The sequence below is a fragment of the Homo sapiens genome, chromosome 12 (genome assembly GCF_000001405.40).
Source record: "Homo sapiens chromosome 12, GRCh38.p14 Primary Assembly".
NCBI lineage: Eukaryota > Metazoa > Chordata > Mammalia > Primates > Hominidae > Homo > Homo sapiens.
The window spans coordinates 50,101,369-50,122,251 of NC_000012.12; the positions used below are offsets into that span (position 1 = coordinate 50,101,369).

Here is a 20,883-nt window from a genome sequence, read left to right on the forward strand (position 1 = left end):
TTAGCCAGGATGGTCTCGATCTCCTGACCTCGTGATCCGCCCGCCTCGGTCTCCCAAAGTGCTGGGATTACAGGTGTGAACCACCGTGCCCAGCCTGTGCCTGCTACTCTAAGGTTCCGCTTTCATGGTTCAAATAAGAGTTCAGTTTTTGTTTGCCTGTTTTGAGATGGAGTTGTGTTCTTGTTCCCCAGGCTGGAGTGCAATGGCGCGTTCTCGGCTTACTGCAACCTCCGCCTCCCAGGTTCAAGTGATTTTCCTGCCTCAGCCTCCTGAGTAGCTGGTTCTTAAGAGCACCATGGAAGTTCTGTGTTGTCATCCTCATACTGTAGACAACTAGCCCCTCCTTGGCAGAGTTTGGAAGACAGCTCAGGAGGGATTCCCATTAGCAATCACTTGAAACTCGCCTGCAGTTCTGCCTGCTTCCCACTTGGAGGCTCATGACTTTTTTCCTTTGTCATTATGCAAGAATGGGGTTTGGAATATAGGATCAGAGTACAACCACTTTCCAAAGTTGTAGTTTAAAAATTATCCTTTGCCTGTTTGGATGGGAACATTCTAGTATTGCCTGTTCAATATATGTAATCAAACCCACCAAAAAATCCAACCACTGTTCCTACTCCGGAACTTGGGGTTTATCAGACTTGAGAAGGGAAAGCAGAGAGGAGTGGTTGGGCCGATAACTAGGAGTGGAGAAAATTGATGTCAAGGACATTGAAATGGCATCTGTTTTTACCCAGGCTAATTACATGTGTAATGAATGGCTGATGAACCATTATTAATTTCAAGCAAATCTACAGTTTGCTCTTGGGAAAAGAGCTCTAGTGATACAGATAACTTCCTGTGATGAGCCGATTCTGAATCTCTGCACCCTCTTTATTCCCATGTAAATGAGCACATTCTTAGTCTCCACACTATCTAAAATGATTGTAGGGGCAAAATGAGAGAGGGAAGCATTTAGGCAAAAACAAGGGGGTTATTTTATGCATAAACATCCATTCTTTGGGGCTCCCATCATTTGTGCCAGGGACAGAAGCATCCTTTCTCTTCCATCACCCGTAATCAGTGCTCCCAGCTGGCAGCCTGGCACTGGAGCCTTCATCTCAGTGCCAGTGCAATAAAGGAGTGGTCTGTGGGAGGCTGTTTCTGTATTAGGTATAACATTGTGCTAAGAAAAACAGCCAACTACTGATTTCATGTCCGTTTCCCTATGGGAAATTACTGGCCATGGAAGGAGAATATGGTTGGTTTTTCCTGGGCAGTCCCCGGAACTTAGAAAGCCATTTCTCCCCAGTCTTGACCTCCTGCCTGCTTACTCCTACCCATGGGTTGCACACAGACTCCCCTGTAGCCCAGTGCTTGTTACCAGTTGCTGGCCAGCAACAGCCCAGGGGGATGGCAACACCCACCTAGCCGTCTGCCAAGCCAGGAGGTCAGCACATGAGCACACAGTGGTGTCTGCCCTCTAGGCCAAGGTGCACAGTGTTAGGAGCCTCTTGCTCCACTCTCCAGATCAGCCTGGAAACCAGAGCTTCCCTCGTCTTAGACAAACAGATGGCCGTGGGCGATGCAGAGCCCTGAACTGCTGAGGGTGCTCCTTCCATTCTCGCCCTTCCCCAAAAAACATACACCAAACTTACCCCCAATCACAGCATCTGAGACCACAAAGCCCCACGGACACAGCTGCCCCGGGTACTGCCTGCCTTCCCCTTTTCTGGCCTCTGCAAACTAGCCATTCACCTGATGAAGCCCCTGGGGCAGTACCTTGGAAACCCCTGAGAGGAGGAGTTGAAGGAGGCTCAAAGCCTTTCAAGGACAGTGTGCACTCTGCCTGCCTCCTATTCTCTCCTGTCCTCTTAAGCCCAGAGTCTACAACAAAATTGTGTACCGCAATTCTCAGAGCTCTCTAACTTTAACCTTTCCCACCTTCCCTAGAACACATTTTTGGGTGGGGATCATCTGAGAGGCCCATGGATGAGTCCCCAAGATGACCTCTGTGGGTGACCAAGACAATCTTGTCTTTTGAGGCACCTGGAGTCTCTCATCCTTTTTTGAGCTGGGCTGTCCTCAAAGCAGGCCCTTACCTCTTATGTGGCCTCATCTTTAGAGGTGGGAAGTGGGCCCACATCCCCCACCCCAGCCCTGCAGTGGAGCTAGCGTGGGCCTGCTGGAGGACAGAACTGTGGAACAGGGTCCTGTGAGGATATGTGGCAGGGTTGGCGGGGGGATAGGGGGTCATGGAGGAGCCTACCTCTGAAAAGCATTCCCCTAGCTGCTACTGAAGCTAAATACAATTTATTTCATGCTGGGGGACAGAAAGGAGCAAGGGAGAGCAGTCACCTGCTCCTTATCTGGGCTATTTTCTTAGCAGACCTCAAAATGAGACCATGGTGGGAAGCTGGGCTGGGGCCAAGGGAAGAAGCTTGCCAGCACTGTCAGCCGATGAGCCCAGGAGAAAAAGCTGGGCCTAGTCTCTGCCCCATTCCTGTTCCACACCTGTCTGTACCCCTGTCTCTCCTTTCCCTGGCTCTGCCAGACTCTCTATCTCCCTGGGCGCCAGCCTCCCCACCCACCCCTGGAGGGCGGGGCTTGGCTGCACCCACGTGTGGTGGAGTTAAATGCTCCTAGCCGGCAGAGGAGCTAGGGAGTGTGGCACTGAGCCGGCTCAGGCAGAGACGCGGCACCATGGCTAGCAAGAAAGTCTGCATTGTAGGCTCCGGGAACTGGTAAGCAGCTCTGTCAAGTGATATGGGGGAAGGGTAGGCCCCCCAAGACAGAGGTGGGTAGGAGGCAGAATGGGTGGGAAAGGCCCTCAGGTTCCTGTTCAGCCCCTGCTGCTATCTTCTATCATAGCAGCACAGGACAGACGGTGCCCGGCCCTCTCCTGACCCCCGCCCTCCTGGGCAGCTGCACCTGTTCACCATGGGAAGGCGTCTCCAGAGCTCTCTATGTGAAGAGCCGCTTGAGTTTGGGGGTGGGAAGATGAGAAGTGGGGCTCCCTTCTCTAGTAGCAAAGGGTGAGGAGACTGAGTCTCCTTTCTACTGCCAGGTCACTGGGGACTATTTGTCATGGGAGTGGAGGTGATAAGGAAGGTAGGTAGGAGTGAACAGCCTGGGGGGCTGCTGTGAGATCCTGAGGTGGGGCGCTGCCCCAACTCCTGCCACTGTTCCCTCCTCCTGTACTTTCCTGTGCTCCCCCTCCCACCAGGGGCTCAGCCATCGCCAAGATCGTGGGTGGCAATGCAGCCCAGCTGGCACAGTTTGACCCACGGGTGACCATGTGGGTATTTGAGGAAGACATTGGAGGCAAAAAGCTGACTGAGATCATCAACACGCAGCATGAGAATGTCAAATACCTGCCAGGGCACAAGTTGCCCCCAAATGTGGTGAGCCCCAACACCCTGCGAAGAACAGGGAGAGGAAGGGAGGGCCAGGAGTTGGAGCCGACCTTACTCAACAGGTGCCTCCTGCTGAGAGGGCCGCTTCAGGTGCAGCAGGACTTGGGAAGGTCTCAGGAGGGCTGCTCTGGGCCCTTTCCTGAGGACTGAGGAGAACCTATGCTTTCCCCTCACAGGCTCCCAGGCGGGTGGGTGGGGAAGGGATGGGAGAACAAGTTGGTCTCCATGGCAGCCAAAGACTGGGCTCCCAGACTTGGGGTCCAGTAGTGCCTGCCTCCGGCACTAATCCTGTTACTCATTCACTGAGTGAGTAGCCGACTTGGAGGCTGCTCCTTGGACTTACGGTCTTTGGTCAAATCCACGTGGCTCTCCCCACCTGGAAAGGGGAAGCAGGGAAGAGAGCAGAAAGGCTGGGGCTCCCCCTTCCCAGCTGGGGTTCCTGAGGAGCTGGGTGATGAAATCTTATTTGAGCTCTTTCTTTTGCCAAGCCCAGGCTGCTTTTGGCCTCCCGCACTGTCCCACAGCCAAGGGATAGGAGAGTGCTGGGATGAGGTTTCCAGGAGTCCTCAAGAGCCCAGGACAGCTGGAGGGAGACAGAGTGGTAGCTGGGGGGAGGGAGTAGAGTGTCTTATTCCTCCAAGTTCAGTCCTTCTAGATTCAGTCCCAAACAAGCCTTCCTGCTCCCCTACCAGCCTCACTCTTTGGCTCCCAGATCTCCTGAATAGGGTTCCACAGGGGCTAGGGGAGGTCTGCCAGGCCCGCGAGCACTTGGTCACCCCCACAGGTGGCTGTCCCAGATGTGGTCCAGGCTGCAGAGGATGCTGACATCCTGATCTTTGTGGTGCCCCATCAGTTCATCGGCAAGATCTGTGACCAGCTCAAGGGCCATCTGAAGGCAAACGCCACTGGCATATCTCTTATTAAGGTGCCAGGGACACCTTCATGTGGATGGGGGAGGGTGCGGCTCACTGTTGTGGGGTTCAGGGTGGGTGAAGCAAGGAGAACAGAAAATGGCAGACGCAGGCCAAGAGTTTGCTGGAGAAAAGAGAGGCAGTTGGCTCTGGAGAGGCTTAGGAAAGCAGTGAGGTGCTGGGGGTCACTGGAAGGGAGGCTGAAGGGAGGAGACGAGATTGGTTTGGAGGTCCTCTCGGGGAGTTTCGGAGGTATAAAGGAATGCCTGGGAGATATGAGAAGCGGGCTGGTTTGAGAAGTGTGAAGAGTAGCTGGTTTGGAGCAGTGACTGGTCACTGAATGGCAGTTTGTTGGGGCAGTCAGGCGGGGTTGCCTAGGGATGTGGAGGGGACCCGTTGCCTTGGAGAAGTAGACTGGTTGAGGGTATGTGGCAGGACAGTTGGTCACATGCTGTCTGGCCTCCTCACAGCAAACTTGAGCTGGGTTGGAATGGGGCAGGACCTGTCGGGAGGGACACAGATGAGCAATGGATTTGGAAGGGACAGAATTTCTGGGCGGAAGCCCGCAGGTGGGCCCAAAGGGCACCTGGCCTGAGCTCCATCCTGTGCTCAGGGGGTAGACGAGGGCCCCAATGGGCTGAAGCTCATCTCGGAAGTGATTGGGGAGCGCCTCGGCATCCCCATGAGTGTGCTGATGGGGGCCAACATTGCCAGCGAGGTGGCTGATGAGAAGTTCTGTGAGACAACCATTGGTGAGAGCCCCCTGGCACCTGCATACACAGTGCATCTAGTTGCATCCCCTCCCCAAACTGCCCCAACCCCACTTAGCCATCTCTTTCCCATAAGGCAGAGAAAGGAAAATACAAGCATCAGAGGTGAAGGAGGCTGGGACACCCCCAGGGAAGGGGCTTCAGGGCCTGCTTAGGGAAACACAGTGATGAGCCCTCCCTCAGAGTTGGTGCAGTGGCACACCTGTGGTCCCAGCTACTTAAGAGGCTGAGGTGGGAGGATCGCTTAAGCCCAGGAGTTTGAGTCCAGCCTGGGCAACAGAGAGAGACTCCCATCTCTATAAAATAAATATTTTTTAAAAAGAGTCCTTCCCTCAAAGCCTTGCCCCCTCCTCACTTTAGGCTGCAAGGACCCGGCCCAGGGACAACTCCTGAAAGAGCTGATGCAGACACCAAACTTCCGTATCACAGTGGTGCAAGAGGTGGACACAGTAGAGATCTGTGGAGCCTTAAAGGTGAGAGGGGCACAGAGGCAGCTATGGGGTGAGGAGAAGGCCCCAAAGGAGGTCTGGCTGAGCTCTGCAAGGCTGCAGGTACTCCAGGCTCTCACTATTGAGCAGTGGTTCCCCTTTCCTACCATGTCCCATGCATATAGGAGGAGCTGCAGAAGCAAGGCCAGGGCCATTCAGGCCGGCTGATTATTCATCATCAGACCGTGGACCCCCTTGCTCCTGTCCCATTTTAGCCCCGTGTGGGACTCCCCACCCTCTGGCTCCAGGAGGTGGTCCAGGGGGACAAGGAGATGCCCAGGCTAATGGGAGACAAAACATCCTTGACACCCAGACAGACTAATGGCCAGAACTATGGATCCTGGACAGCTGTTGACTTGAGGGCTGTACAATGGAATGGTCATAGATGGGAAGATCAACTAGAGAGAAGAGTGGTTTTCAGAAAATGTCCTCGAGGAGGGAGTATGGGGCAGGGCTTAAGAAAGGGGGTGCAGCAAGGGGGGAAACCAAGAGGCGGAAGTAGGCTTCTAAAAGGCCACACACTATACCTCTCTTCTGCAGTGGGTGTCACGGCTGATGAAATGAGTATGAGGGGGCTCCACATGGGGCCTATAGGAGGGGGTCTTTTCTCACCTATGACCTCCACTCCTTCAAGAATGTAGTGGCCGTGGGGGCTGGCTTCTGTGATGGCCTGGGCTTTGGCGACAACACCAAGGCGGCAGTGATCCGGCTGGGACTCATGGAGATGATAGCCTTCGCCAAGCTCTTCTGCAGTGGCCCTGTGTCCTCTGCCACCTTCTTGGAGAGCTGTGGTGTTGCTGACCTGATCACTACCTGCTATGGAGGGCGGAACCGGAAAGTGGCTGAGGCCTTTGCGCGTACAGGAAAGGTGGGCCCCGGGAGAAGGGAGAACAGAGGGGCGGCTCTGTAGGCATCCAGGTAGAGGTGCTTGGCGGGAGGCATCTCTGGAGCACAAACATTAAGACTGTTGTGCACATCCCCATCCCTCTTTTCCTCCCAAGACCCCACTCCCATCTGAGCTCCAGTCTCTCCACCCCCTACTGACAACCCTTCTCTCCCATTTCCATCCACTCATCCTGTTTTCTGCACAGTCCATTGAGCAGCTGGAGAAAGAGTTGCTGAATGGGCAGAAACTGCAGGGGCCCGAGACAGCCCGGGAGCTATACAGCATCCTCCAGCACAAGGGCCTGGTAGACAAGTAAGTATTGGCCACAGCCCCACTGATTAAGGGAGCCACAGCCAGAAGTGCTCGCCCTGTTCATCATCTTCCTAAACCTGCCACAAATCTGTGAAGTGGACAGAAAGGGGAGTATTACCTTACATTTCAGACAGAGTCCAGAGCTTGCAGAGTCTGGCATGCCCATTGTCCGCCAGCTAGTTCATGGTCTTTGAACTCCTTCCAGTCTAGTGCTCTTCACACTACATTACCTGGATCCCTTTGTGCCCCTCCTTCCTTGTCCTCTGCTCTGGGGTTGGAGCTCTGGGGCAGCAGGAATAAGCTCATCCCACTTCTGTCCATCACCCCTAGTTTGAGTCTCTTCCCCAAGGCCAACCCATCTGTTCCCTGAATCCTGTTCTGGGTGCTGAGGTGTAAGGAGAAGGATGGGCTTCAAGGTGCTCGTTTTCAGAAAGACAGCGGGGGTGATTGGGCTGATCAGAGCAGAGCTGTGCTGGTCTGAGAAAGACTCCTAGAAGAAGACAGTATGAAACAGGTTCAGAATATCCACTCATGACTGGTCAGGGTAAAGCTTGGAAAAGGGAGCAGCTGGGCAAAAGGACAGTAAGAAGGAAATGAGTATTTATTAAGCACTTTCACATCATACCTAATTACATCTTCACATACACAATCATTCCTTTGTTATATTGGCCCCATTTTACAGTTGGTGACACTGAGGCTCAGAGAGGTTAAGTGGGTTGCTCAAGGCTGGGTGTGGTGTCTCACACCTGTAATCCCAGCACTTTGGGAGGCCAAGGTGGGTGGATCACGAGGTCAGGAGTTTGAGCTCAGCCTGACCAACATGGTGAAACCCCATCTCTACTAAAAATACAAAAATTAGTCAGGCATGGTGGTGTGTGCCTGTAATCCCAGCTACTCAGGAGGCTGATGCAGGAGAATCGCTTGAACCTGGGAGGCGGAGGTTGCAGTGAGCCAAGATTGCACCACTGCGCTCCAGCCTAGGCGACAGAGCGAGAGTCTGTCTCAAAAAAAAAAAAAAAAAAAAAAAAGTGGGTTGCCCAGTTGGCACAGAAAATCCAAGCCAGAGAATCATGCAGGCCAGTTCAACATGGTAGGGAGCAGGGCAATTAGCAATCTGACCTTAAACCTAGGGCTAGGGAGTTCACATTCTCAGAAGGTAGAAACTCACAGCCATCCTTCCTGAGCTCCAAGGTGGGAGGGCAAGGGACAGGAGGGTTAGGCAGTGAGTGGGGGTGGGGGTAGAGTGGACCAGGAGTGGGAGGCTAAGCTGAGCCTTTCCCTCTCCAATCTAGGTTTCCCTTGTTCATGGCTGTGTACAAGGTGTGCTACGAGGGCCAGCCAGTGGGTGAATTCATCCACTGCCTGCAGAATCATCCAGAACATATGTGAGTGGGGCCAGGGCCCAGGCCAGGCCGCTTTTTTACCCCAGTGGAGACCAGCAGAAGCCTGGGGTACCTAGTCACCAGGATCTCCAGGACTCCCAGGGAGCAGAGTCTTCTCATCTTTTCACTGGAGGACAGGAGGCTATGGGGCCCAGCTACGCACCTGGAGATCCTGAACTGTCAAGCCACTGGCAGCCTCATGCCACCACATTTGCCAGAAATGCAGTTGCCCTGTCCCTCTCCAGATGTGGGGCTTTCTCCATATCCTCTGGGAGGGGTGGAATCAAGCCCCAGTGCTGCCTGCTTGGTGGCGGGGGTGATGTATGTGGAGAAGGGTTGGGGGAGAGGCCGGTAGGGCAGGGGCTGCTAGTGGCTGTCTCACATACACCAGTAATCCTGTTAAAGGGCTGAAGAAGTATCTTAGCCACAGGAGCGATGAGGCAAGGATTGTCAGGGAGGGGTCTGGGCTTCTGAGCTGATGCAGGCCCCAAGGACCCCTTTGCTGACCTCTGCCAGGACCCACACAGCTTCGATGGATCTCAGTGTTTGTTAACAAAATACAAAGATCTCAAACAAACCCCTTTTAGCTTCTCCTAGCAACATCTGTGTCCTCAGAAACCTCTGGTTCTCCCCCTTCCCCCTCCCCCAGGCTGCCCTGGCACCCAAATTGCTGCCATGCTGGCATCTGTAGCTCGGTGGCTTGACATTCTCCCCAGGGACTTCCCGGTTCCTAGTTCTTTGCCAGCTCCTCCCCACTCTGTGCGACCTTTCCAAGCCTTCCCTCACCCTCCCCGCCAGCACCCTCTTTGGGGAGCAGGAACTTAATCTGCTGACAGAGCTACACCTTTCATAACAGGCTCAGATCACTCAGCTCCCTGTGACCTTTGTATTCACCCAGGCTTCCTTCTCAGTAGCTCTAGCTGGGGGAGGTGTCAGCTGGGCCCCTCCTGTGCTATCTCCCCAGAGGACATCCCTGACTCCACCCCTTTCTTCCTCCCAAACTCTGCACCTCTTCCTCAGCTGCTCCAGACCGGCCAGGGTAACCAGCTAACCATGCCTGGCATCTGGAAGCCAGCAGGCCAGAGGGTGGCCCAAAGGCTGATGAACGGTAGGGAAGGGTGAGCAGATTCCTATGTTGGTGGGCACCAATATTCCAAGGGCAGCTCTCTTTGCTGAATGAGGGCCTTCTCGTGAGGTACTGACAACACCAGCAACTCGAGAGCTGGGAAACTCAAGGAGGAGGAAGAAAATCAAAACCACCCTACTCCCTGGGGTGAGGAAAGAACAGGAGGGGAGGAGGAGGAGTGTGCTCTGCACTTGCCTTGCTCCAGGATGGGGTGGCAGCAGAGGAATGTCACAGGTCAGCAGCCTAGGCCTCCAGCTATAAATAGTCCGGAGGGCCCGAGAGGCTCCCGCCCGTCCAGCAGGGCTGTCAGCTTCCTGTGTGGCAGCACCTGGCACACTGGCTCTGGCCAGCATTATGCTAAAACCCTGTTACTCTCCAATGAACCAGGGAGGCGGGCTCCTCTCTGCGCCTATCCCTTGAGAATTCTGTCTTACCAGTGAAGGGTGGGGCTGCCCAGATCAGGCAGCAGGAGTGAGGGGCACAGTCACCCCAGGCCTTGCTGAGCCCAGGTCTGGGTACTGAGTGTCCAGAGCTGCCTCCCCAGGAGGTTAAGGTGGGGGCAAAGGGGAAGCTTCAAGCACTTTGCCTACTTTTGTTCACTCCCCAGTGCACTGTGACTCAGGCCTTCCCATCAGGCCTATTTGTCTACCCAATAAAGCGTGTTTTTTCCAGAAACAAGAAGAGTTGGGAGAGGGAGCTTCAGTGCATGTGGCAGTGCGTGTGCTGGCGCGTATCATTGCACGTATGTTTTCCCTCTTACCGTAGGAAAAATGAAAAAAGAAATCCCTCCTCCATAATCGCAGCTACTCCAGGGGTCAGCGGCGGTGCCCACTCAGTCCCCATCCCTCTCTCTCCCCTCCCGCCAGCGCCCCCTCCCGCCCTCGCCGCAAGCTGGCCCCGGCCTTGCCGGCCCTTCTTAGGGGCTTTATCATGCCTCCTGCAAGAATAGAGATCACACACGGGACGGAAACGTTAGACTCTCATCCCTTGTGCCCATTCCTTGGTCACGGGCCAAGCTGCCGCATCCTTAGCGGTCCAGGCATCGCGGTGCCCCTCGGGCCCCTACCTGGACTAGGCCCACAGCCGGGCTCTAGGGGGCGCGCGATCCACCTCCAGAAGGCCGGCTGCGAAAATCTACCCAGCTACTGGCGACGTCACCGCACCGTAGGCTGAGGATTGGCTGACTCTGATTTAGCATCCTAAAACTTCCGGTTCCAGAGCTTGGCTCGCCAAAGACCCTCCCTCGAGGGAGAGAAACCACAGCCCCCAGAATTCAGCGGGCCTCTCCGAGAGCACGGCGCGTCTGAGGATGCGTAGTAAGGATAACGGGCCCGGAAGCCGGAAGTTCAAAGCCGGCCTCCAGCCAGAGTGACGGCCTGCGCGGACTCCCGCCTTAGTGGGCGGAGTTGTGCCGCGTCTGATGCGCAGTTCCCTTTATAGCGCGGCAAGCCGAATCCTAGAGGCTAACCCGGCAGGTGGGAGGGAGAAAGTTGCTTTCTGCACCAATAGCTGAGGCGTTCAGGGTTGTCCAGGGACGCTACCCTCACGTGTCTGGTTCCGAGTGCTGCGTTCGGCTGTGCTGGGAAGTTGCGTAGACAGTGGCCTCGAGACCCTGCCTGCCTGAGGAGGCCTCGGTTGGATGCGAAGGAGCTGCAGCATCCAGGTACGCTGCCGGCTAGGGCCGAGCAGGGGCTGCCAGTCCCACTGCCTGCGCGCCCACCTGGGCCAGTCTCCGCTTGCCGCGTCCTCCCATCCCCTAGTCTGCAGGCCTGGTGCCCTTGAATTCACCCGCTTCTGTTGCGTTGCGGACCGCGAGCTGCACTGCTTCCTGCCCAAGCCCAAGCTCCTCGCAGCAGTAGGTCAGTCTTGCTAGAGCTCAGCGCTAATCCTGTCAAACCTCGACTCCTGCCTGGCGTCTCGACCCTCCACGCTCCAACTCTGCCTCTTCCTTGCTCTATAGACCTCTGCGTCCTGATAAGTGGCTCTCCGGGGCACCCTTCGTGCATATCGGCTATCCAGCTCCACCTCTTGACCGCTTTCACTTCCTGGAATGCTCTCACTGCTCCTCTTCTCCAGGCCATCCTTCTAAAAAGACAGTTCCACTCCCACCCCGATTCCCACCCCTACACCTTTCTGCTAAGTTTTCTCAAGCCCCCACCCTGTCTTTGAGCTGTTGTCTCTGAACTCTCACAGTGCCTCTCCATGAGACCATAAGCTCCTGTATGACAGAAGCCATGTTCTTTTTAGCGGCCTCCGTAGCATGATGTACGTTATGTTATGTTATGTTATGTTATGTTATGTTATGTTATTTTGAGACAGGGTCTTGCTTTGTCGCTCAGGCTGCAGGTGTGCGCCACCACGCCCGGGTAATTTTTAAAAAAAGGTTTTTTTTTTGTTGTTGTTGTTGTTGTTTTTAAATAGAGAAAAGGTCTCCCTATGTTGCCCAACCTGGTCTCCAACTCCTGAGCTCAAGCCATCCTCCCGCCTCGGCCTCCCAAAGTGTTGGGATTACCGGCGTGAGCCACCGTACCCGGCCGATGTACTACTCTCTAAGTGCCAAACAAAAAGTAGATAAAAGATGATGGATACCTTAAAAGCCCTGAGTTGACCACTATGCAGTGTATGCATGTAACAAAATCGCACTTCTACCCATACGTTTACGCAATTTTTTTTTTTTTTTTTTGAGACGGAGTCTTGCTCTGTCGCCCAGGCTGGGGTCCCGTGGCGGGATCTCGGCTCACTACAAGCTCCGCCTTCCGGGTTCATGCCATTCTCCTGCCTCAGCCTCCAGAGTAGCTGGGACTACAGGTGCCCGCCACCACGCCCGGCTAATTTTTTGTGTTTTTAGTAGAGATGGGGTTTCACTGTGTTAGCCAGGATGGTCTCGATATCCTGACCTCGTGATCCACCCGCCTCGGCCTCCCAAAGTGCTGGGATTACAGGCGTGAGCCACTGTACCCGGCCGTTATTTTATTTATTTATTTATTTGTTTGTTATTTTATTTATTTTTTTGAGACGGAGTCTCGCCCTGTCGCCCAGGCTGGAGTACAGTGGCGCGATCTCGGCTCACTGCAACCTCCGCCTCCCGGGTTCAAATGATTCTCCTGTCTCAGCCTCCTGAGTAGCTGGGATTACAGGCATGTGCCACCATGCCTGGCTAATTTTTGTATTTTTAGTCAAGACAGGGTTTTATCATATTGGCCAAGATGGTCTCGAACTCCTGACCTCAGGTTATCAGCCCACTTCTGCCTCCCAAAGTACTGAGATTACAGGTGGCTCACGCCCAGCCTTTTTTTTTTCTTTATTATCATTATTATTATTATTTTTAGAGACACAGTCTTGCTCTGCAAGTGCAGGGCCGTGATCACAGCTCACTGCAGCCCCAAACTCGTTGGCTCAGGCAAGCCTCCCACCCAAACCTCCCTAGTAGCTGGGACTGCAGGTGCATGTCACCACACCCAGCTATGGTTCTCAATTTTTATTCTAGCCTAACACACTGGAAAGATACAGTACACCTCCATCAGTGGCAGTGACTTGATTCAGCAGTGGTTTTCAACCAGGAAGGGGGATGTAGTTAAATGAAAAAAAAAAAAAAAAAAACAGGTGTTTCTGGAATTTTTTTTTTTTTGAGGGGTGGAGTTTCACTCGTTGCCCAGGCTGGAGTGCAGTGGCGCGATCTCAGCTCACCACAACCTCCGCCTCCTGGATTCAAGCGATTCTCCTGCCTCAGCCTCCTGAGTAGCTGGGATTACAGGCATGTGCCACCCCACGCCTGGCTAATTTTTGTACTTTTAGTAGAGGTGGGGTTTTTCCGTGTTGGTCAGGCTGGTCTCGAGCTCCCAACCTCAGGTGATCCGCCCTCCTCGGCTTCCCAAAGTGCTGGGACTACAGGAGTGAGCCACTGCGCCGGGCCTTGGAATTTCCTACCTGCCTTTTCTCCTTAATTGTTGCCTTCTTTGAACTGTTGCTCCCTTGGCCTCTCTCTTTCTGGTCTTATCCTCTCCTTTGGTTTTGCTTATTACCTCCATATGTATCTGAAACATAGCTTCCCTTCTAAGCTGTATCTATCTAAATTTGTATTTCCATCTGCCTGATAGACATCATCACATGAATGTTGTGTTGAGTATCTTAATTTTTTTTTTTTTTTTTTTTTTTTTTTTTTTGAGATGGAGTCTCACTCTGTCGCCAGGCTGGAGTACAGTGGCTGCAACTTCCGCCTCCTGGGTTCAAGCAATTCTCCTGCGTCAGCCTCCAGAGTAGTTCCGACTACAGGCAGGCGCCACCATGCCCAGCTAATTTTTGTAGTTTTAGTAGAGATGGGGTTTCACCATGTTGGCCAGGATGGTCTCAATCTCTGGACCTTGTGATCTGCCCACCTTGACCTCCCAAAGTGCTGGGATTACAGGCGTGAGCCACCGTGCCCGGCCGGTTTTTTTTTTTTTTTTTAAATAGAGATGGGGTCTCGCTGTGTTGCCTAGGCGTAGTCTTGAACTCCTGGGCTCAAGCGATTCTCCTGCCTCAGCCTCCCAAAGTGCTGGGATTACCAGTGTGAGCCACCATGCCTGGCTGAGCATCTTAATTTTTTTTTTTTTTTGAGACGGAGTCTGGTTTTGTTGCCCAGGCTGGAGTGCAGTGGCGCGATCTCTGCTCACTGCGAGCTCCGCCTCCCGGGTTCATGCCATTCTCCTGCCTCAGCCTCCTGAGTAGCTGGGACTACAGGCACCCGCCACCATGCCCGGCTAATTTTTTTGTATTTTTACTAGAGACGGGGTTTCACCGTGTTAGCCAGGATGGTCTCGATCTCCTGACCTCGTGATCCACCCGCCTTGGCCTCCCAAAGTGCTGGGATTACAGGCTTGAGCCACCGCGCCCGGCCGAGCATCTTCATTTTAACGTGTTCAAGCCCAGCTCATGATCCTCCTTTTTTTTTTTTTGAGACAGGGTCTCCCTGTCACCCAGGCTGCAGTGTAATGGCATGATCTCGGCCCACTGCACCTCTACCTCCTGGGCTCAAGCGATCCTCCAACCTCAGCCTCTTGAGTAGCTGGGACTACAGGTGCATGCCACTACGCCCCACTAATTTTTGTATTTTTTGTAGAGACAGGGTTTCACCATGTTGCCCAGGCTGGTCTCAAACTCGTGGGCTCAACGATCCGTCTGTCTTTGCCTCCCAAAGTGCTGGCATTACAGGTGTGAGCCACTGCACCGGCCACGTGATCTTCTTGATGGACACTGTCACCACCCTGTATATACAGTGATACATACCTCTTCTCTTGTTTCTTATTTCTGTTAACAGTATCCCAGTCTACAAAGTTTCCTAACTTGGAGGTATTAATATTTTCAGCTTTGCCCTAATTCGCTCCATTGATAAATCCTTTTCTACTTCCAAAGTATCTTCTGCATCTGTTCTTTCCACTTCTACTGCTACCACTGCTTTAGCTCAGAATCTGAAGAGTTTTTTTTTTTTTTTTTGAGACAGAGTCTTGCTCTGTCCCCCATGCTGGAGTGCCGTGGCACTCTCTTGGCTCACTGCAACCTCTGCCTCCCAGGTTCAAGTGATTCTCTTGCCTCAGCCTCCTGAGTAGCTGGGGCTACAGGCATCCGCCACCACGCCTGGCTAATTTTTGTATTTTTAGTAGAGACAGGGTTTTGCCATGTTGGCCAGGCTGGTCTCGAACTCCTGACCTCAGGTGATCTGCCCGACTCAGCCTCCCAAACTGTTGGGATTATAGGCGTGAGCCACTGCGCCCGGCCTGAAGAGTTTTTGCTAATTGGATATTAGGGAAAACCACAGGATGGATTAAGACAAGAGAGGGAAGGTAAGGTTCTAGACAGCAGGATTATGTCTGTTAGTTGGTTTTATGTCACTTTTCTAGCCAAGCTGTACCATCCTGTTTTTGTTGGTTGGTGAATGCTTCCAGCTCTTTTCCTCCAGCCCTTGGAAGAGGTGGTCCTATAATTGTTAAGCATCTAGCTAGGGTGATGAGTAGGAATAGCAATAAGTGACAGGGAAGTTGAAGGCTGCAGGGCTCTTTGCAGGCGGCTTAGCGTTCAGCTCCATGGGTGTGTGTTTTGTTCACTATTGCATGCACAGCTTGGGGCCATTTCAAACCTCAGATTTCAAACCTGAACACAATCCTTTCTCATCTTGAACTTGTGTCACTTAGTATTCTTCCTCTGACCTTACTTAATATCACTTTCCATAGTGGGATTATATTTCAAAGAAGCTGTGTCTCAGCTCAGCTTGGGGTCCACACTCAAGACCTGCCTCAAAGGCAATGTTCAGCCCTTAGGGTTTACTCTGAGAAGTATTTACATGTCTGTACCCATGTCTGACCCCTCTAAACCAGCGAATCCTGAGCTTTACTTTCAATTTTTTTTTGTTTTTTGAGACAGGGTCTCACTCTGTCACCCAAGCTGTAGTGCAGTGGTACGATCTCAGCTCACTGTAGCCTCAACCTCCTGGGCTCAAGCAATCCTCCCACCTCAGCCTCCTGAGTAGCTGGGACTACAGCCATATGCCACCATGCGTGGCTAATTTAAAAAAAAATTTTTTTTGTGGGGACAGGGTCTCACTATGTTGCCCAGGCTGGTCTCAAACTCCTGGCCTCAAGTGATCCTCCTGACTCGGCCTCCCAAAGCATGGGATTACAAGTGTGAGCCACCATGCCCTGCCTAGGTTCTTGACTTTGTTGTTTGTGTGTATGCTTTGGTGTGTGTGTGTGCGTGGCCATGGTAAGGGGCGGGATTTTAAGTGTCTCTGCCTACAGTGCTGAGAGCCATTAAGTGGAGAGCAAGCTGCCAAAAACTAAAAATAGGGCCCTCTTAGGCCTCACTGGCAGGCTTATTGGGCCCAGTTCTCTCAAGGCTCCTCAGGACTGGGTCCAAAGGTCCTTGAGACATTCCCCTCTTGGCTTCCACCCTGGCACTCTTTTTCTGTCTCTTTTTTTTTTTTTTTGAGACGGTGTCTCACTCTGTTGCCCAGGTTGGAGTGCAATGATGCGATCTCGGCTCAACTGCAACCTCTGCCTCTGGGATTCAAGCAATTCTCCTGTCTCAGCCTCCGAGTAGCAGGGACGCAGGCATGCACCACCACGCTGGGCTAATTTTTTTTTTTTTTTTTTTGAGATGGAGTCTTGCTCTGTCACCAGGCTGGAGTGCAGTGGCACGATCTCAGCTCACTGCAGCCTCCGCCTCCGGGTTCAAGTGATTCTCCTGCCTCAGCCTCCTGAGTAGCTGGGACTACAGGCGCGCACTGCCATGCCCAGCTAATTTTTTGTATTTTTAGTAGAGACAGGGTTTCACCATGTTGGCCAGGATGGTCTCGATCTCTTGACCTCGTGATCCACCTGCCTCAGCCTCCCAGAGTGCTGGGATTACAGGCGTGAGCCACCATACCTGGCACCCCCCCTTTTTTTTTTTTTGAGATGGAGTCTCACTCCCCGTCATCCAGGCTGGAATGCACTGGCGCAATCTCACCTCGCTGCAACCTCCGCCTCCCAGGTTCAAGCAGTTCTCCTGCCTTAGCCTCTCGAGTAGCTGGGATTACAGGCATGCGCCACCACGCCCAGCTACTTTTTGTATTTTTAGTAGAGACAGGGTTTCACCATGTTTGCCAGGCTGGTCTCGAACTCCTGACCTCAGGTGATCCACCCTCCTCGGCCTTCCAAAGTGCTGAGATTACAGGCGTGAGCCACTGCATCCGGTCCCACCTTGGCATTCTGAACACAGTCTTGCCTTTCACTGCAGTTTCTGTCAGTCTTCGTGCAGCTTGCACATACCCCAACCCCGTCCTTGATGGACATCATGCTCTGGTTGTTGTTTCTTTAAAAATAAATATGTATTTTTGGCCAGGCGCGGTGGCTCACGCCGTAATCCCAGCACTTTGGGAGGCCAAGGCGAGTGGATCACAAGGTGAGGAGATCAAAACCATCCTGGCTAACACGGTGAAACCCCATCTCTACTAAAAATACAAAAAATTAGCTGGGTGTGGTGGCGGGCGCCTGTAGTCCCAGCTACTCGGGAGGCTGAGGCAGGAGAATGGCATGAACCTGGGAGGTGGAGGTTGCAGTGAGCCGAGATCGTGCCACTGCACTCCAGCCTGGGGGACAGAGTGAGACTCCGTCTCAAAAAATATATCTATATATCTATATATGTATTTTTTATTTTATTTTATTGAGGTAGTCTTCCTGACTTTTAAGAAACCTATCTCGCTAATTTCAGTCAGTCTTTTAATTTCAGTTCCCTCAACAGAGTAGCACCTAGGAACACATTCATAGTCCCAAATTGAGGGACATTTTGTTCCAGATGAGGGATTCTCTACTAAACTTTCTCTTGTTTCCTAGCTTGGAATATCCAGGGAACAGTTAAATTAGAAGTAATTTATCTCATGCAAATATGAGTTAACAATTTGCTGGGGACCCAGTAAGTTTCTTTTTAGCCTGTGGGATAGGTTCTTAGTGTTGGGTTTAGAACGTAGAATTAATACTGTAGAAGGTTAAGTATAATTGAAATAATATAAAAGTACTTTTGACACTATTTCAGTTATATTATGGCTTAAACAAGCTTTAGTGTTGACTTGGAAACCTAACCACCATGAATAAGATCGTTTTTATGGGGAAACAAATTGGATATTGCCTGAAAGGTTCCCATTTGATCTTCCTAGAGAGAATAATTCACTGCAAATGTTTCATTTCTGCTACCTCCATTAGTTCCCTCCTAGCTAGAAAAACTGATGCTTGCTTAATGTTACCAGTTAGAGCAGCCCTGGCTGGTGCAGTGGCTCATGCCTGTACACAATCCCAGCACTTTGGGAGGCCAAGGTGGGAGGATCACTTGAGCCCAGGAGTTCAAGAGCAGCCCTGGCAACATACATAGCAAGACCCTGTCTCTACAAAAGTAGAAAAACTGGGCGGTGTGGTGGTACACACCTGTAGCGTCAGCTACTTGGGAGGCTGAGGTGGGAGGGTGGACTTCAGCCCAGGAGGTTGAAGCTGCAATGAGTCATACTCACACCACTGCACTCCAGCCTGGGCAACAGAGTGAGAACCTGTCTCAAAACAAAACAAACCCCAGCAGTCCAGGCTGGTCCATGCCAGTCACTTCTGTCCACAGGCATGGAAGGCCAAATGTTGGCTTTGATGACATTCAGAGACACCTGGTTCCAGGCTTGTTTCTGTATCTTGTAGGCACATTTTATTTGCCCTTTTGAATCATAGAGTTCCTAAATGATATCTTCCAGTATCCCTATGAGACTTTACCTAGACATAGGGGCCATTCAGTATAGAGTGCAGACAGACCAAGCAGGATGCAGAAGTTATGGAATGGCGTTAAACAGGGAGATGGGCTGGGCAGATGAGGCCTTATCCTCAGGTCTAAATTCAATCTGTCTTTGTAGGGGACAAGATGCCAACTGGCAAGCAGCTAGCTGACATTGGCTATAAGACCTTCTCTACCTCCATGATGCTTCTCACTGTGTATGGGGGGTACCTCTGCAGTGTCCGAGTCTACCACTATTTCCAGTGGCGCAGGGCCCAGCGCCAGGCCGCAGAAGAACAGAAGACCTCAGGAATCATGTAGAACTGGGGGGCTTTTTCTCCTGAGCAGAGAGGCCCAAGGCATGCTGTGGAGAGACTTCACCTGCCACCATTTCCAGGTCAACAGGACTAGAGCGTTGATGGTTTTCAAACCCTGTTGGAAGAAAGTGCCCATGGTTTCTCTGGTTCTGCCAGTTTGACAGTTTATGGAGGCTTTTGAATCGTAATAGCAATGTGAGGGTGAGGTACACCTACAGACATTAAATAATTTGCTGTGTCTGTGTCTTGGTGTTTTTTGTTTACCCAAATAGCATATGGACCACAAAAGGGGAGCCTTGACTACCAGTTTTCTGGGTATAGACTGGATTACCATATCTTGAGCTCTTAGCACCCATGAAGTGGGTGATGTACAGCTCCAGGAGTAGTATCTGCCCTCATGATCTTAGAGGAAAGGTTGTCCCAGGATTTATATAAATCCCCTGAAATAATTCTGTAAGGAGCTTTTCTCTGGGTAGAGCCCATTCCTGAGCTGATTACTGGATCTAGGTATCTGGTTACTCTGGCCAGCATGGCCACATGTGCAGCTCTGCATCAAGGAGGGTAGAGGCCCTTGTTTGACAGCCGTAATCAAACTGCATGCAGCAGAGGAGGATAGTTCGCAAGAGGAAGGGCTGTTGGGCAGCGTGTGGTAAAGCAGTTCACCTCCTTAAGCTCAGTGGGTGTAGTAGAGCATAAGGATAGATTCACTGTGCTACTGCACGGGAAACCTACCTGGAGGTTTTATTGCAGAGATGTGAAGAGGATTTGAAAGAAAACAAAGTGCTTTCAAGACCTCATTAGGAAGTGAGAGATCCTTGCCACCATTCCATTTTGAGCTTTGAGGCTCAGCTGGTTCACCTCATTCTTGATGATTGCCCAGAATATCAGCCTCTCTGGACACCTGTCCTCTCCCATACACTCATGTGCAGACTGCGCTGACCTTTGCCCCTGCTCATAAACCTCTTCCATGATTTTAAAACACCAACTTTCGGCTGGGCACGGTGGCTCACACCTATAATCCCAGCACTTTGGGAGGCTCAAGCAGGAGGATCCCATGAGCCCAGGAGTTTGAGACCAGCCTGGGCAACATGGTTGAAACCCTGTCTCTACAAAAAAATTTGAAAAGTTAGCCAGGCATGGTGGTGCATACCTGTAGTCCGGCTGGAGGATCGCTTGAGCCCAGGAGGCTGAGGCTGCAGTGAGCTCTGATTGTGCCACTGCAGTCTAGCCTGGGTGACAGAGACCCTGCCAGCCAAAATCCATCCATCCATATATACATACCAACTTTCCTATATCCTCAACCCCTGTACTCCCATCTTTGTGTCAGCCTAGGCATTCCTGCCTGCTCTGCTTTCCCACAGTAGGGTCATAATTCTCCCAGATCCTCAGTGCCACTTTCGAATATTACTTTCCCTACCCAAGCATCAGATTAGTCCTTTTTGACAAACTTTCTTATATTCTCATTTCTACCATTCTAGACCTTGGAGACTTCAGGTCTCTTGATTCCATTTTTCCCCAATCTGTCAGCCCCCTTTGCCTGCACTGCTTCCTTGTCCAGCATATGCCCATAGATGATCCCCTGAACAACTCACCACACCTGCAGTCTCTGCCTTCATCTGTCTTGTTACCAAGCCTGGACCTTGCTCCTTTAATTACCCTTTCTAACTCACCCTCTTCTTTCGAGTATGTAAACTTGCTTAAGGCCCTCTATCCCACACCAAAACAGCTATTCAAGGTTTGTTTTTTGTTGTTGTTGTTTTTTGTTTGTTTAGATGGAGTCTCGCTCTTTCGCCTAGGTTGGAGTGCAGTGGCGTGATCTCGGCTCACTGCAGCCTCCACCTCCCAGGTTCAAGCAATCCTCCCACTTCAGCCTCATGAGTAGCTGGGACTACAGGCGCATGCCACTGTGCCTGGCTAATTTTTGTATTTTTAGTAGTGACAGGGTTTCACCATGTTGTCCAGGCTGGTCTTGAACTCCTGACTTCAAGTGGTCCTCCCGCTTCGGCCTCCCAAAATGATGGGATTACAGGCATGAGCC

The 20,883-nt window shown here is 52.1% G+C and overlaps 2 protein-coding genes across 6 annotated transcripts, besides 5 other annotated features; both read left to right on the top strand.

Annotated features, from left to right (window-relative positions):
- Nucleotides 1,650–1,699: an enhancer, noted in NCBI's record as "active region_6343". NCBI's record gives its function as "activates an Ori minimal core promoter by ATAC-STARR-seq in GM12878 lymphoblastoid cells {active_cell/tissue: GM12878}" and the evidence as "EXISTENCE:reporter gene assay evidence [ECO:0000049][PMID:35858748]".
- On the top strand, nucleotides 2,640–9,945 carry GPD1 (glycerol-3-phosphate dehydrogenase 1). 2 transcript variants are annotated; one of them, NM_005276.4, is made up of 8 exons: nucleotides 2,640–2,723; nucleotides 3,206–3,383; nucleotides 4,180–4,320; nucleotides 4,920–5,058; nucleotides 5,437–5,549; nucleotides 6,199–6,432; nucleotides 6,656–6,762; nucleotides 8,055–9,945. In NM_005276.4, the coding sequence occupies exons 1-8, from the start codon at nucleotides 2,683–2,685 to the stop codon at nucleotides 8,149–8,151; spliced, it is 1,050 nt and encodes a 349-aa protein (NP_005267.2). In that variant the 5' UTR covers nucleotides 2,640–2,682; the 3' UTR covers nucleotides 8,152–9,945. The 2 variants fall into 2 exon arrangements, with proteins under 2 accessions (NP_005267.2, NP_001244128.1); NM_001257199.2 differs by having other exon boundaries at nucleotides 4,249–4,320.
- Nucleotides 10,308–10,357: an enhancer, noted in NCBI's record as "active region_6344". NCBI's record gives its function as "activates an Ori minimal core promoter by ATAC-STARR-seq in GM12878 lymphoblastoid cells {active_cell/tissue: GM12878}" and the evidence as "EXISTENCE:reporter gene assay evidence [ECO:0000049][PMID:35858748]".
- Nucleotides 10,418–10,677: an enhancer, noted in NCBI's record as "active region_6345". NCBI's record gives its function as "activates an Ori minimal core promoter by ATAC-STARR-seq in GM12878 lymphoblastoid cells {active_cell/tissue: GM12878}" and the evidence as "EXISTENCE:reporter gene assay evidence [ECO:0000049][PMID:35858748]".
- Nucleotides 10,868–19,085, top strand: COX14 (cytochrome c oxidase assembly factor COX14). 4 transcript variants are annotated; one of them, XM_047429769.1, is made up of 3 exons: nucleotides 10,868–10,933; nucleotides 11,464–11,535; nucleotides 18,668–19,085. In XM_047429769.1, exon 3 carries the CDS (start codon nucleotides 18,676–18,678, stop codon nucleotides 18,847–18,849), a length of 174 nt encoding a protein of 57 aa, XP_047285725.1. In that variant the 5' UTR covers nucleotides 10,868–10,933; nucleotides 11,464–11,535; nucleotides 18,668–18,675; the 3' UTR covers nucleotides 18,850–19,085. The 4 variants fall into 4 exon arrangements, with proteins under 4 accessions (XP_047285725.1, NP_001244062.1, NP_001244063.1 ...); NM_001257133.2 differs by lacking the exon at nucleotides 11,464–11,535 and adding an exon at nucleotides 17,125–17,184; NM_001257134.2 differs by lacking the exon at nucleotides 11,464–11,535 and having other exon boundaries at nucleotides 10,868–11,129.
- Nucleotides 10,898–11,137: an enhancer, noted in NCBI's record as "active region_6346". NCBI's record gives its function as "activates an Ori minimal core promoter by ATAC-STARR-seq in GM12878 lymphoblastoid cells {active_cell/tissue: GM12878}" and the evidence as "EXISTENCE:reporter gene assay evidence [ECO:0000049][PMID:35858748]".
- Nucleotides 11,148–11,197: an enhancer, noted in NCBI's record as "active region_6347". NCBI's record gives its function as "activates an Ori minimal core promoter by ATAC-STARR-seq in GM12878 lymphoblastoid cells {active_cell/tissue: GM12878}" and the evidence as "EXISTENCE:reporter gene assay evidence [ECO:0000049][PMID:35858748]".

Coding starts and splice junctions, on each gene's coding strand:
- GPD1 (NM_005276.4), top strand. CDS start 2,683: ATGGCTAGCAAGAAAGTCTGCATTGTAGGCTCCGGGAACTG. Junction 4,321..4,919: donor CTGGCATATCTCTTATTAAG/GTGCCAGGGACA, acceptor TCCTGTGCTCAG/GGGGTAGACGAGGGCCCCAA. Junction 6,763..8,054: donor CACAAGGGCCTGGTAGACAA/GTAAGTATTGGC, acceptor TCTCCAATCTAG/GTTTCCCTTGTTCATGGCTG.
- COX14 (NM_001257134.2), top strand. CDS start 18,676: ATGCCAACTGGCAAGCAGCTAGCTGACATTGGCTATAAGACCTTCTCT.